The 15987-nt window shown below is 35.7% G+C and overlaps 1 protein-coding gene and 1 pseudogene across 13 annotated transcripts in view; both read left to right on the top strand.

Annotated features, from left to right (window-relative positions):
• The window catches only part of XRN1 (5'-3' exoribonuclease 1), a 141428-nt gene that overhangs the window by 22085 nt on the left and 103356 nt on the right, over window positions 1–15987 (top strand). For 11 of the 13 annotated variants that reach the window (XM_047448357.1, XM_047448356.1, XM_017006640.2 and 8 more), the window contains exons 4-15: window positions 415–524; window positions 621–731; window positions 2311–2393; window positions 3031–3118; window positions 3203–3371; window positions 4410–4477; window positions 4800–4937; window positions 7072–7138; window positions 7344–7449; window positions 8724–8813; window positions 11662–11818; window positions 13290–13409. In XM_047448357.1, coding sequence (XP_047304313.1) covers window positions 415–524; window positions 621–731; window positions 2311–2393; window positions 3031–3118; window positions 3203–3371; window positions 4410–4477; window positions 4800–4937; window positions 7072–7138; window positions 7344–7449; window positions 8724–8813; window positions 11662–11818; window positions 13290–13409 — 1307 coding nt within the window. Of the gene's footprint in view, window positions 1–414; window positions 525–620; window positions 732–2310; window positions 2394–3030; window positions 3119–3202; window positions 3372–4409; window positions 4478–4799; window positions 4938–7071; window positions 7139–7343; window positions 8113–8723; window positions 8814–11661; window positions 11819–13289; window positions 13410–15987 lie in introns of those variants that run through there. The other 2 variants (XM_047448358.1, NM_001282859.2) reach the window with 2 other exon arrangements.
• RNU1-100P (RNA, U1 small nuclear 100, pseudogene) lies at window positions 5584–5748 on the top strand (annotated as a pseudogene).

Genomic DNA, 15987 nt, shown 5'->3' with positions numbered 1-15987 from the left:
AATATTATTATTATTATTGACAATCTGATTTAAGCTGCAAGCCTTAAAAAAAAAAACCTTCAGAATTCAGCAGAAGAAATAGAAGGTTGAGGTTCATTAGAGATCTCAAACTCTGCCCTTACATGAAAATTCCTGAAGCACAGTGCTGAGACACTAGTAAAATTCCTTGACTTTCCCTGTGTGACACTGATTCTATTTAGGGGGACTAGTGACATTAGAAACAGTTGTGATATTTGCAAGGGAAAAGTACATTACTTGTTTTTCAGGATAAGCAAGAGAGCTTTTGACCTTCTTTGGAGATCCTATACCTACCTAGCTATTCCCGGCGTACTCAGATTCAGTTATGTGTTGTCACTGAGAACTTAATGTTTTTATGTCTTTCTTAGATTAACCTTTTTAAAACATTATTTTTAGGAACTGAATTTATGGCCAGGTTACATGAACATCTGAAGTATTTTGTAAATATGAAAATTTCCACAGACAAGTCATGGCAAGGAGTTACCATCTACTTCTCAGGCCATGAGGTTATTATCTTTTTTTATTTAAAGAGTTTAAAAAAAGTATTTAATATTCTCAAGCATATACCATATTACTGCATTTTTAAAAACAATTTTATTTAGACTCCTGGAGAAGGAGAGCATAAAATCATGGAATTTATCAGATCCGAGAAAGCAAAGCCAGATCATGATCCAAACACCAGACACTGTCTTTATGGTTTAGATGCTGACTTGGTAGGTATAATTTTTATTATTATAAACTTATGCATTGATAGTTAAATATCTAAGAGATTTCATTTTGTACAGGAAGCTTACTGGCTGTGGCAACAAATATTGGAGACACAATAATGATTGCTACTTCTATCATTACCAAATTTCTAAAAATCATTGGAAAATGAGCTTTTTAACCATAGTTTATTGACCAACAGATCTCTATAATTAGTCTACAGGTGTGACTAATCCTAGTGCTGTGAATACTTTGCCAAGGTCAGAGAAATGGGGCTGCTTTTTTACCCTCAGGCTTAATACTTGGCTTTTAATACCTCCTTATCTGAAAACTCCATGCTCCAGATACCTTTAGTAGACTTTTTGGCATTAACTTTTTATTATGGAAATTTTCAAGCATAAACAAAAATAGAAAAGGTAATATAATGAACATCGTATACCCTTCATCTAACTTAAATAATTTTAAATTTCTACCCCTAATCATCTGTCTCCTCTCCCTCCTACCCACTCCCCGCCCGATTATTAAAGCAAATCCTAAACATTTTATCATTAATTTGTATATGTTTCATAATGTTTCTCTAAAGGATTAAGGTGTTTTTTTAAGAAAAAATATATAACCACAATGCCATCATCCCACCTAAAACAGAAATTAACCTTTTCTTAATATAGAAATAACCAGTTAGTATTATCATTTCCCTGATTGCCTCATAAATGTTTCATTTTGTTTTCTTGTTTGAATCAAGATTGAAATAAACAGTATGCAAGTACATGGCGTTTGATTGATATGTGTCAACAGACTGTTGACTTACTTGGGGTATTAGAATACTGTGTGAGAGGCCGGGCAAGGTGGCTCATGCCTGTAATCCCATCTCTTTGGGAGGCCGAGGCGGCCAGATCATCTAAGGTCAGGAGTTCAAGACCAGCCTGGCCAACATGGCTAAACCCCATCTCTACTAAAAAATACAAAAATTAGCCAGGCATAGAGGCAGATACCTGTAATCCCAGCTACTCTGGAGGCTGAGGCAGGGAGAATTGCTTGAACCTGGGAGGTGGAGGTTGCAGTGAGCCAAGATCGCGCCACTGCTCCAGCCTGGGCAACAGAGCGAGACTCTGTCTCAAAAAAAAAAGATACTATGTGAGAAAATTAACTGGAAGTGCTCTTTTCCATTTTTTTTTTTCCTGAGTTTTCATATACTGGGGCTATCCTGGTCTCCAAAAGAGTCCTGCATTCTTTGGTCATAGAAAAGCTGCTGCCTCTAATTTCTAACCAGTTCCCCCACGGCAAGTAGAAATATGTGAAAACCAAGAGAAGATGTTTGGGATTTGGAGGGATAGGAAGAGGAGAGGGGACAGGGGATAGGGTAATGGTTATGAAAAGCATGTGAGCTAAGGTGAACATATTTTTCTTAGAAAAGTACACTTTATCTCATTCATTACCTACAAATAGATCATATTTTGTTATTTGTATATTTAATGTGCTAATTGTTTCTTATTCTTCCTTGTATAGAATTGTTTTTTAATTGCTTTTGTGAACCTAATATTATTAAAAATGGGAGAATAAAAACATTTCTTAATCATTTTTCAACAGATTATGCTTGGATTAACAAGTCATGAGGCACATTTTTCTCTCTTAAGAGAAGAAGTTCGATTTGGTGGCAAAAAAACACAACGGTAAATTATATAGCATATATGTTGGAAGAAAGAAATTACGCCTGGATAGTAATTCTTTAACAGATACATGTTTGTAAATACTTTATCTCATTCCGTAGGTTGCCTTTTCACTATGTTGATAGTGTCCTTTGATGCACAAACGTTTTTAATTTTGTTATAATCCAACTCATTTATTCTTCTTTTTTTAGGAGTTTTCAAGTTTTAACTTTTATGGTTAGATCTTTGATTCATTTTGAGTTAATTTTAGTGTGTAGTGTAAGGTAAGGGCCCAACTTCATTCTTTTGCATGTGGATATCCAATCTTCCTTGCATTATTTGTTGAAAAGACCAGCCTTAAATGGGCCAGATCTCAGTAGTTTCTTACTTCTACTATATGTTATTTAGGACTTCTTAATTCTGAGAATCCTTCCACAGAACACATAATGTAAACCAATTGTTTTGAACTTTAACATGTATTATCTATTATTGCAATTGTATTTTTATCTTTGTTACCCTGCAACCTTCATATAAATTGTATGCCTTAATTACAAGACCTTACTATCTTCTGATGATACTTTTGATTTAAGCTTTGTTACATTTTTAAGCTGGGACCTTAAAAATAAAATTCACTGTATCTTGATCATCTGACTAATTCCAGGGTATGTGCTCCAGAAGAAACTACATTTCACCTTCTACACTTGTCTTTAATGAGAGAGTATATTGACTATGAGTTTTCAGTATTAAAAGTAAGTATTAATAAAGCCATGGACCAAGGATTTCCATTGCAGAAATTTTCACTGGATTTGACTTTGTTCTCTATTTTACTGTAGGAAAAGATCACATTTAAATATGATATTGAAAGGATAATAGATGATTGGATTTTGATGGGGTTTCTTGTTGGTAATGATTTTATCCCTCATCTACCTCATTTACATATTAATCATGATGCACTGCCTCTTCTTTATGGAACATATGTTACCATCCTGCCAGAACTTGGGGGTAAGAAGAATTTAATAATCTCTCGAGGATACTTTAATTTAGTGCCACCTTACCCTAAAAATGTGACTTAGTTTAGTAGATTATTGCATGCACGCTAAAGCAGAAAAACATTGAGGATTTATTTTGGTCTAAGGTGCTAACCTCTGAGGTTGTCATTTTCAGTGATTCACAAGGAAAGAAAGTGAACAGAGTTAACGAACCTCAATTATTGATATCTAACTAATCTTTGCCTTTTTTTTATTATTTATTTATTTTTTGAGACGGGGTCTTGCTCTGTTGCCCAGGCTGGAGTGCAGTGGCGACAGTGCAACGTTTGCCTTCTGGATTCAAGCTATGCCCATGCCTCTGCCTCCTGAGTAGCTGGGATTACAGGCATGTGTCACCATGCCCAGCTAAGTTCTATATTTTTAGTGGAGATGGGGTTTTACCATATTGACCAGGCTGGTCTCAAACTTCGGCCTCAAGTGATCTGGCTTCCCAAAGTGCTGGGATTACAGGCATGAGCCACCACACCCGGTCTAATCTTTGCCTTTAATTCCTTAAGAAAGCCAGCATACTTTATTGGTTTTACTTTTTTCATATTTAAGCATAGAAATTCAATTTTTTTCGAATGGATATGCATCACAGTGTTTATTATGAAGCAGTGATTTTTCAATGAAAACAGAAAATTGACAAACATAGTGATGCCAAATAAAACAGACCACAGGGTAGCAGAACATCAGTCCTTAAGTTAACATATCATATTAAATGATCTAGATAGATTATAGACCATATTTAATTTAATTAATTGTTACCAAATGTTGGATTATTATGTGGAACCTGGAATTTCTTATATTTGGCTTTGGTGCTTACATGTTGCATATTATAGTAGCATAAAATTCACAGAAACTAGGGCCAGTTTGGATATAGTCCAACACTGTTTTTTCTTGATTAGTACTGTAGAACATGAACATTCAACATTTTGTAGAAAGAGTTTTGTAGAATTGTTTAGAAAAAATGTCAGCTTTTAGTACAGATTTAAATTTTTGTTTCTTTTAGGTTATATTAATGAAAGTGGGCACCTCAACTTACCTCGATTTGAGAAATACCTTGTGAAACTATCAGATGTAAGTAACTAGAAATTTTTGGTTTCCTGTCGCAGAGTAGCTGTAAATGATCAGTCACCAATTATGTAATACCAGAAGAAAGGGGTTTTATAATTCTATTCCAATTGCTTATTCAATATAAACACTTTTACCTAAATTAATTTTATTTTTATTTGCTTTCTATTTGTATTTTTAGAGTAACACATGAGGTCTCCCATATATATAAAAGAGTAACATTCTCCAATTTCCTATACCCCAGTAGTAGTCACTGTTTTAAGTTTGATTTGTATTCTTCTAGATATACTTAAATTATTTAAAAATAAATTTAAATATTTCTGTACAGTTTGATCGGGAGCACTTCAGTGAAGTTTTTGTGGACCTAAAATGGTTTGAAAGCAAAGTTGGTAACAAGTACCTCAATGAAGCAGCAGGTGTCGCAGCAGAAGAAGCCAGGAACTACAAGGAAAAGAAAAAGTTAAAGGTGTCTATTTTTTTAGGTGTCCTTTCATTGTTTTAACTGTAAAGGCAAAAATTATATTCTTTGTTTCTCATTTTCCTTCTTATGATTTGGGATTGCCTCGTTTTATTTCTCTTCCTCTCTATAGGCATTTCAGAAATTGATTTGGTTTCTTTTTTTCTATTAGCTTCTGTCATTTAATGAGATCTTCAATAATCAGTTCCTTATTTTTACTGTTGAAGAGGTACATTGTGTTTTATGTTAATAAATGTGGAAAACATTTCTAAACATAAAAGCCCAGAAAATGAATTATTTTCTGGGCTTTTTAAAAAAATTACTTAAAACATGTTATTAAAAACAATTATTTAAGGCCAGGTGCAGTGGCTCACACCTGTAATCCCAGCACTTTGGGAGGCAAAATGGGTGGATTACCTGAGGTCAGGAGTTTGAGACCAGCCTGGCCAACGTGGCGAAACCCCATCTCTACTAAAAAAACAGAAATTAGTTGGATGTGGTGGCACACACCTGTAATCCCAGCTACTTGGGAGGCTGAGGCACGAGAATCACTTGAACCTGGGAGACAGAGGTTGCAGTGAGCCAAGACTGAGCCACTGCACTCCAGCCTGGCTGATAGAGTGAGACTCTGTCTCATAAAAAAGAAAAACAATTATTTAAAACCTGACAGGGAGGATACCATGATCATGAAGGTAGTTTTCCCAGGGCGAGGTTTATCCATTGCACTCTGGATGTGCTGATGCCCTGCGATTTCGCCAAATGTGGGAAACTGAACTGCGTGACTTATGGTAGTGGAGGACTGCATTCACACTTTCCCCTGGCAATTTTTTTTTAATTAAAAAAAAATTGTTATTTTAAAACAATGGACTAGTTTTTAAAATGTGGATATTTATAGTGTTTAATGATATGAGACATTAACTAGATCAGTGATTTTTCTCTAGAAATGATTTACATATAAAATACAATAGTCTAAGTTAATAGTAATGGCAAAAACCACAATTACTTTTGTGCCAGCCTAATAGCACAATATCTAGTAAATGTTATGTGCTTAATAAATGAATAATAGAATCAATTAGAATATGATAGTACCCTGCAGAGCATCTCTGATAATCTCCAAAGAATGTCTTGTGTTAACTTGAAAAGTAAACCTCTTGTGAAAAATTCTTCAGCCTCTCTGTAATTATTGGATTCTGCTGAGTTTCTTTTTTTTTTTTTTGGAGACAGCATGTCACTCTGTCACTCAGGCTGGAGTGCAGTGGCGCGATCTTGGCTCACTGCAACCTCTACCTCCTGGGTTCGCTTGAATTCCCCTGCCTCAGCCTCCTGAGTACCTGGGATTAGAGGTGCGCGCCACCACCCAGCTAATTTTTGTATTTTTAGTAGAGACGGGGTTTCACTATGTTGGTAATGCTGGTCTCGAACTCCTGACCTCGTGATCTGCCCACCTTGGCCTCCCTTAAGTCCTGGGATTACAGGCGTGAGCCACCGTGCCCGGCCAAGATTCTGTTGAGCTTCTTACTCTCCTTGCTGTACTGGTTCTATTTAGGTTCAAACTTAATGACTCTTGCTCCAGGAGGGGCAACTGTCCTTGTTTTCTCTAGTGTAGTCCTTCTCGCTGCTTAGCTCTTCCTCACTGGAACTTGGCAGCAGTCAGTCTGCATTCCACTGGTTTTTGTGTGTGTGTGTGTGTCTTTTTTTTTCCCCCCCTAAGAAAACGGGCTCTGCAACTTTTTGGGAACCTGTACACACAAAACTTACCTGTCAGTAATCCCTGGCTCCCCCACCACAATTCAGTACTTAAACTTCACCAGTCTTCCAGCCATATGCAGCTAACTTTAGAGACACTGTGCAGGAATAGCCCAGACACAGGAAGTTGGTAGAGGCCATAAGTTGGATGAAAGAAAGGAAATGGGGATAAGGGAGTAGGAAGAACTAAAGAGAGTCATTGGCAGTAGACAGGAAATCAGAGAATAGAGGAGAGAAAGGATTGAGATCACAAGGGAGGAAAAACAGATGGGCAGGATATGAAGGATGTTATAACATGGAAGAACTATAGAAAAGCAAATGGGTGCATGGAAGAGAAATGACATCTCATTTTGAAATGTATCTTGCCATTCATTTTATGTTGATTTACAATTTACAGGGCCAGGAAAATTCTCTGTGTTGGACTGCTTTAGACAAAAATGAAGGCGAAATGATAACTTCTAAGGGTAAGTATGAAGTATGTGTTTTGATATGTTACTACTTTGACAGGATAATTGTTATACCTTTTATTTATTATTACTAATTTTGGGTGGAACAGATTTCTGTGATAGCATATAAGCATCAACTTGGATATGCATTTATCAAATCATTAGGTGGAAAAACAGGCTATTCATAATTGTCAGTCACTATCTTTCTGACTTTTTTCCCCAGATAATTTAGAAGATGAGACTGAAGATGATGACCTATTTGAAACTGAGTTTAGACAATATAAAAGAACATATTACATGACGAAGATGGGGGTTGACGTAGTATCTGAGTACGTTTTTGCCAATGCTTTTATTTTAAAATAGAAAAAATTAGATTTTGCAGTTATTCAGAAAATATGATTTTGATGAAGTAGTGGGAGAAAAAGGATTTTTTGGTTTCATGAATTATTGTGTATGTTTCAACTAGTCTGGTTTTGGAGAAGATGGTATTAATTCTGACTTGTATTATATTCCTGTGATAAAAATTGCTGAAGAGAAAATGATCCTTATGTATAAGGATTTTTGTTACAAAGTTGTTTATAATAGTAAAAAAATTAGAAATAATCTAAATGTCCAATAAGAAGGTTCATCATAATTGGCCACTGCTTCTTCATTACAGTCACCATCTCTGTCACCTCTTCCATCTCCGGAATCTGCAGAACTGCTAAACTGGTACTTGCAGAAAGTTCATAACAATTTGGAAGGATGCTTATAGTACATTATTAAGTACAAATTGTAAAGGCAAGACATGAAATCATACATACAGTATGCTCTCATTAACCTTAAAAAAACCTAGATATAGATAAAAGACTGAAACACTAAAAATGTAAAAGTGATGGCTATAAGATGATAAAAATGCTGTTCTTCATTGTCCAGATTTTCACTCCTGAGGAAATAGTTCTTTTATAATAAAAAAGCAATATTTTTCATATTAAAAAACTACCTCCCAGAAATATGTAGTTATGTAATTTCTAAGTGAATATTTTTGCCTTTAGCCCAGGGCTCTGTTTTGTTTTGTTTTGATGATTTGAAGACTTATTTTACCCAAACTTAGAAGATGGCATTTGGTTTTTGACAAAGAAAGGATTAGAAGGAATATTGTTCACATACAGCACTTCTGAAAGCATTCTAGCTTCTGTGACCAAATTTTAAGATCTTCCTGATTTGCTGCTTTGCTTCTCTCAGATATCATCCCATGTAAAGAAGATTCCCATCCCTTTCTCCCGTCTCACCCCCACTATTTAAGAGAGTGGTAGTGTCACTATGGAAAGCTTCATTGGGTAAATCTTCAACCTTTGGACCAAGGGAGTGGTACATTAACTGAGTAAATATGAATAACAGACTTATCTATTTTGATAGTTGGTTTAGGAAAACTGTCATGTGACAGGATGTAATTTTTAAAAATATTTTGGAGTTTTTAGGATTATAATTTTTAGCCATAAATAGCTAATTCATTGATTAAATAAATCATCTGAGGTAAAATGTTGTATCAGCAGATACCGTGCTCTAAAGACACGGGCCTGTCTTCAGAAAATATGTTATAATGAAAATATTCTATTTTCAGTGACTTTCTGGCTGATCAAGCTGCATGTTATGTTCAGGCAATACAGTGGATTTTGCACTATTACTATCATGGAGTTCAGTCCTGGAGCTGGTGAGAGAATAAAAACAAAAATAAAGTTTTGTCTTTTTATAATGATTCATTCTACTAGAGTCTTATTTAGGAAGCACTTCCTTTTATTTCTACTTATGGTAATTTTTTTTTTTTTTTTTTTTTCACTCTGTTGCCCAGGCTGGAGTGCAGTGGCATGATCTCGGCTCATTGCAATCTCCGCCTCCTGGGTTCAAGCAATTCTGCCTCAACCCCCTGAGTAGCTGGGATTACAGGCATGCGCCACCACGGCCAGCTAATTTTTATATTTTTAGTAGAGATGGTGTTTCGCCATGTTGGCCAGGCTAGTCTCGAACTCCTGACCTCAGGTGATCCGCCCACCTTGACCTCCCAAAGTGCTAGGATTACAGGCATGAGTCACTGCACCCGGCCTCTACTTATGGTAATTTTTTAAAAGTTCCATACAACCAGGTTTAAATGAAACATAGGTAATATTTTCTCCAGCCCTAACAGAAGGCTCATAATAAGAGGTCTTAGTTAATGTAAAGATTTAATGTTCTCTATCAAAGTTAGTCAAGTTTGGCAAAGTCTTGATAATTACTGGGTTTGAGTGATGGTTATGTGAGGGTGTTCATTATATTCTCTTTACATTTTTTGTGTTTGCTAAAAAATTCTCTATCAAGAATAATTATTGAAGTGTTCGGGCACAGTGGCTCATGCCTCTAATCCCATCGCTTTGGGAGGCCAAGGTGGGCAGATCACTTGAGGTCAAGAGTTTTGAGACTAGCCTGGCCAACATGGTGAAACCCCATCTCTACTAAAAATACAAAAATTAGCTGGGCATGGTGGTGTGCCTCTGTAGTCCCAGCTACTTGGGAGGCTGAGGCTGGAGAATCGCTTGAACTTTGGAGGCAGAGGCTGCAATTGAGCTGAGCTGAGATCGCACCACTGCACTCCAGCTTGGGCAGCAGAACAAGACTCTGTCTCTCAAATAAATAAATAAATAAATAAACAGAATAATCATTGAAAAATGGGCTTACTTCTAGGAAGGGCTAGAAAGGTGAAGAAGAAAAGAGAAAGGAGTTCTTTTTTTTTTTGAGACAGAGTCTCGTTCTGTCAGCAAGGCTAGGGTGCAGTGGTGCAGTCTTGGCTCACTGCTGCAACCTCCCCTTCCCGGGTTCAAGCAATTATCATACCTCAGCCTCCCAATTATTTGCTTTTATGGAGAATAGTAATCATTTTATTTCTCATGTTTCCTATTCTAGCAAATCCCATCTGCATTTTCAAACCATCCACCAAAGTAGAAAAATTAAAAACCAAAAAATGATACAGTGAATACTAGAGACTTTTAGATGATAACACAACTCTGTTTGGTTTGGTTTTGTTCAAAGCACCTGTGCTAGGCTCTGTTTCAGAGCTCCATCTAGCAATACAAACCAGTGCAAAATAATGTGACATTAATTATGGTTTCACTTACTACATAAAGCCTTTGAAAAAAGTTTTATAATCACCTGATTCTCAGGGCCTCTCTGAGGAGCAATCTCATGAAGAAAATCCTTGATTTGCCATTTTTAAAATAGTGTGAATGTAAGTTATTCCTGTTGTAACTTACATTAAGGCCAAGCACATAAAAAGCATGCTCTCACATAATCTTCACAACTATTTAAAGTAAACATTGTTTTCTCCCTTTTACAGATGAAGAAATTGAGGCTCTGAAAGGTTGAGAAAGGTTAGGTAATCTTCCTAAAGATTATACACCCAAGAATTAAGTCAAAGCCTGTCTGATTCCAAAGTCTACCCTTTTTCTATTCCACATGGCACTTGGCCTCCTAAACTCCTCCATTTTTTTTGAAATGTACGCCATAATTATGGAATACAAAAACATTTCAATGTTTTTGGTATCCTGACTCAAACATTAGAAGCATATTGAAATTTTTAAAAATTGTTTGTTCAAAGCTTTATAAAATATTTATACCTGTAATTAAGATGAGAAGGTAATAAAAACAAAAACAATTAGTGTATGTGATCGATACATGGTTTCATCCTTATCACAAATACAATAATAAGCATGCTAATTCAAAGATAAAAGTTCTTAGATCTGACTGGTAATGGCCAGATAACCTCAGACTCACTTTTCTTCCTCTCCTTGTGAGCTTTTACCAGAACGTTCAACTGTTTTTAGTCTCTTGCTTAAATGATCCAGGCTCAAGTGACCAAACTGAAAGTCTTCTGACTACCTCATTATTTCTGGTTCAATCTATTGATTGGAAGATTCACTATCAACATTTTGAGAATTAAAAAAAGCATTACATTATACGTGTTTTTCAATTACCTGATTCATCCCAATTTCAGAAATGTGAAACCACACTTTAAAAATTCAGGAAATAGGCCAGGCGCAGTGGCTTACGCCTGTAATCCCAGCACTTTGGGAGGCCGAGGCGGGCGGATCACGAGATCAGGAGATTGAGACCATCCTGGCTAACAAGGTGAAACCCCGTCTCTACTAAAAATACAAAAAATTAGCCTGGCATAGTGGCAGGCGCCTGTAGTCCCAGCTATTTGGGAGGCTGAGGCAGCAGAATGGCCTGAGCCCGGGAGGTGGAGCTTGCAGTGAGCCAGGATCGCGCCACTGCACTCCAGCCTGGGCAACAGAGCGAGACTCTGTCTCAAAAAAAAAAAAAAAATTCAGGAAATGTAACATTTGTTGCCATCGGATGACCTAAATTTTCCAACACTGCTAATTTCTTATATTCAGATAGTAGAATTATGGGCAGTACTAATTTTTTAAAATTATTTTTATATGTTGTTAAAATATGGGGAAAAGTATATGTTTATTATTAACCTAATTCATAAAGATGCCACTTGTTTAAAACTCAGTTTTGTTTTATAGGTATTATCCTTATCATTATGCACCTTTCCTGTCTGATATACACAACATCAGTACACTCAAAATCCATTTTGAACTAGGAAAACCTTTTAAGCCATTTGAACAGCTTCTTGCTGTACTTCCAGCAGCCAGCAAAAATTTACTTCCTGCATGCTACCAGGTGGGTCTTAGAATTGAATGTTTTTATGTCCTTTTTGATATTTAGAAGCTCTTCCTCCAAACCTAGAAACAATAATACTCAAATTTATTTGGTAGCTAAGTAGTTATTTTCAGTTTTAAACCATAGTATTTTTTTAACAAGTCCCTTGAAAAGTAATTCTTTGATTTCAAGTTAGCTTTGTTTTAAAGATGCAAAGAAACTCCGTAAATCATTCAGAGCCTGGCTTCATTTTCAGCACCTTTAAACAGATTTTCAATTTGTCTCTACACTGAAGAAAGTAGGCTAAAACCGACAAAATCTGAAGCTATCTACTTTATCTAAACATTTATAGATTCATTTCTCTTCCCTTTACTGTCTACATTTTGGTATAGGGATGGTTCTAATAAGTCATTTATCCCAACAGCAGTACTACCTCAGTATATGTTTGTTTTTAAACATTTTATTTATCAATTTGTGAAATAAAAAGCTTTCTTTGGTTAACATATTTCATGTAACAGGAGGAAAATATTTCAGGAGTTGATAAGGTTACCAAAATTACGCTAAGCCTACTAAGGTGATTCTGAAGTTATACTTTGTATCGTTCTTTGAGGGTAACAATCTGTTCTTTTAATTCTGTGGTTTGGTCAGGAATTGGAGTAGACACACACACCCCCTTTACTTCTTTAGCAGTGTCAGACTCCCTTCTGCATCTTTCTGAACCTTAAACTGTTGTTGATCCTGGCTTCCCTTTCTTCGTAAGTTTCTTTGATTGTTTTTTCCCTGCCTTTGGATACAATACGCTTTAATACCCAACCACTCTGAACCAGCATGACCATGCGTTTTACGGTCTGTTTTATCGTACAGTGCCCATGCCATACTGGTTATTTTAAATATTTTGAATATTACCCTGAGAGTATACTGCCTTATTTCCTTATGCTTTCTTTGTCTACCTCCGTTATAAAGTCATAGAAATGTGTTATTGGACTATTTCTCTTTGATATTAGTGGTGCAGTGATTCTTGGATTTTAGGATATTTTTATTTTAAACTATCTTGGATGTTACATTACTTAATAGAATCAGTTCTTCAGGACATGAAAGTAAATTGTCAATTTGAGGCTAAAAATAGAGAACTACTAGATGCCTTTTAGATGAACTGAAATGAAGTCTGAATAGAAAAACAATTTAGCTGTGTGTCTTGTAGAGTGAAAAAACAAGAAAAAATAATTTAAAATGAATGTTGAGAGTAAGGATGACTTTGCTGCATAACTAAGTCAGTAAAATGTATAAATGATGAGTAGTAGTGAAATCAGAATTCTTATAGTTGAAAATCAAAATATAGCAAGTATATTGTGACATATCAAAGGTACAAAAATTTAGTTTGCTTTGCTTAGAAATTTTAAACTAACATGAGGAAATATTATAAATACATTAACAAAAAACTATATTGATATTAGTTCTTATATTTCTATTATACTATTTCATATTTTCACAGCATTTGATGACCAATGAAGACTCACCAATTATAGAATATTACCCACCTGATTTTAAAACTGACCTAAATGGGAAACAACAGGAATGGGAAGCTGTGGTGTTAATCCCTTTTATTGATGAGGTCAGTGCATGAAATAATCATTACATACACATACATTCTTAATCAGAGACTATTTCACATAGGTTAATGAGCAATGGGTTTTAATCACCATTTATGTTTTGTTAATGAGATTTAGCTACCCTCTTCATTATGTGCATAAAAACTTCCAGGTATGCCAATTATAATAAGGCTGAAGTGGCTTTACTATTATTAGACAAAGTAGTCCTCAGAACAAGGAGTAATATTACCGGAGATAAAGAGATATTTTATACAGATAAAAGAGTCAGTTCAGTTCAAGAAGACATAAAAATCCTAAATATGTTGTATCTAATAACAGAACCTAAAATACATGAAGCAAAAATTACCAGAATTATAGCTAGAAATTTCAACACTTTTCTCTGAAGAATTAATAACACAAGAGGACAAAAATTCAGTAAGGATGGCCGGGCGCGGTGGCTCACGCCTGTAATCCCAGCACTTTGGGAGGCTGAGGCGGGCAGATCACAAGGTCAGGAGATCGAGACCATCCTGGCTAACACAGTGAAACCCCGTCTCTACTAAAAAAATACAAAAAATTAGCCGGGCAAGGTGGCGGGCGCCTGTAGTCCCAGCTACTCGAGAGGCTGAGGCAGGAGAATGGCGTGAACCCCCGGGGGCGGAGCCTACAGTGAACCGAGATCGCGCCACTGCACTCCAGCCTGGGAGACAGCGAGACTCCATCTCAAAAAAAAAAAAAAAAAAATTTTCAGTAAGTATAAAGAAGATTTGAGTAATGCTATAAACCTACTCATAGAATTAAATTAGAAATAGTAACAAAGATCTGGGGGATCCCCATACATTTTGAAACTAAATAGCACACTTCTAAATAGCCTATGATGAAAGAAGAAATTAAAAGAAAAATTAGAAAATATTTTGATCTGAACGATAATTAAAATACAATACATCATAATGGGAGCTGAGCATGGTGGCACACATGCTGTAATCCCAACACTTTGGGAGGCCAAGACGGTAGGATTGCTTTTTTTCCCTCAGGAAAGAAAAAAAAGGGATCCATGGTCAGTATGATACGACTAAAGCAGGGCTTAAAAGGAAATTTAAGGTTCTAGACGCTAAACAAGAAAAAGGTTTAAAATAAATTACCTAAGCTTCTAACTTAAGAAGATAGAAAAAGAAGAGCAAATTAAACTCAAGCAGAATGAAGGAAATAAAAAGAAGCAGAAATCTACAGAAAATGAACAAACAATGGAGAATAATTAATGACATCAAAAGTTGGTTCTTTGAAAAGATTAATAAAGTCAGTAAATCCTACCTAGACTAATCAAGAAAGTTAAATAAAAGGGGGGAAGGCAGAAATAAATTACCAATATTGGGAATGAAGAGGAGCTATCTTATAGTTCCTTCATATAGTAAAAGGTTAGTTAAGGAATGTTATGGTCAAACTTTATGTCAACAAATTCAACAACCTAGATGAAGTGAACATATTTCATCACAACTTATCAAAACTCACAGAAAAAAATATAAAAATCTGAATAGTCTTTTGTGTATTCTAGGCCCAGATGTCTTCACTTGTGAATTCTAGCAAACATTTAAGAAATAATGCCAATCTTACACAAACTTTCAGAAAACAGAAGAAAGGAAATTGCTTCCCAACATTTTATTAGACTAGCATATTCCAGAGACCCAAATTTGACATGGCATTAAAAGAAATGAAAATTACTGACTGATACTCCTCCTAAAAGTAGATGCAAAAACTCCTAAGGAAATAACATGAGGCCGGGCACGGTGGCTCATGCCTGTAATCCCAGCACTTTGGGAGGCTGAGGTGGGTAGATCATGAGGTCAGGAGATCAAGACTGTCCTGGCTAACAAGATTAAATCTCGTCTCCACTAAAAATACCAAAAATTAGCAGGGCGTGGTGGTGGGCACCTGTAGTCCCAGCTTCTCAGGAGGCTGAGGCAGGAGAATCGCTTGAACCCTCAGAGGCAGAGGTTGCAGTGAGCAGAGATCCAGCCACTGCACTCCAGCCTGGCAACAGAGCCAGACTCCATCTCAAAAAAAAAAAAAAAAAAAAAAAAACATGAGATAGAATCTGACAGCGTATAAGAAGGATAATACTCATGACCAAATGGGATTTATTTTAGAAATACAAAGTTAGTTTGCAATGTAATTTACCACATTATCAATATTCAACATCCAGTTTTTTTTCCACCTTCCACTATCTGACCAAGAATATTTTTTTCACAAACATCCAGTTTTAATAGAAATGTTCAACAAACAAGGATAACAGGAAACATCCTCAACCTTATGATAAAGGCATATAAAAAATCTTACTGCAAACAACATACTTAATAGTAAAAGAAGGACCAATTTCCTGTAAAGTCAAGAATAGGACAAGATGTCCATTCTAACCACTTCTTTCTAACGTTTTACTGGAGGTCCAGTGTGTTAAGATGAAGAAAATAAGTAAAATTGTTTTTAGTGGCAAGTGGCATTATTATCTATGTAAAAATTCTAAGAAATCTTCAAAAGAGAAACTTTAACTGATAAGTAACTTTAGCAAGGTTACAGAGTATAAGATCTGTACAAAAACTAATTGTA

This window comes from Homo sapiens, chromosome 3 (genome assembly GCF_000001405.40).
Source record: "Homo sapiens chromosome 3, GRCh38.p14 Primary Assembly".
NCBI classification, from domain to species: Eukaryota; Metazoa; Chordata; class Mammalia; order Primates; family Hominidae; genus Homo; species Homo sapiens.
Note: the sequence above shows the minus strand (reverse complement) of the source record. Positions and strands in the feature narration are given on the sequence as shown.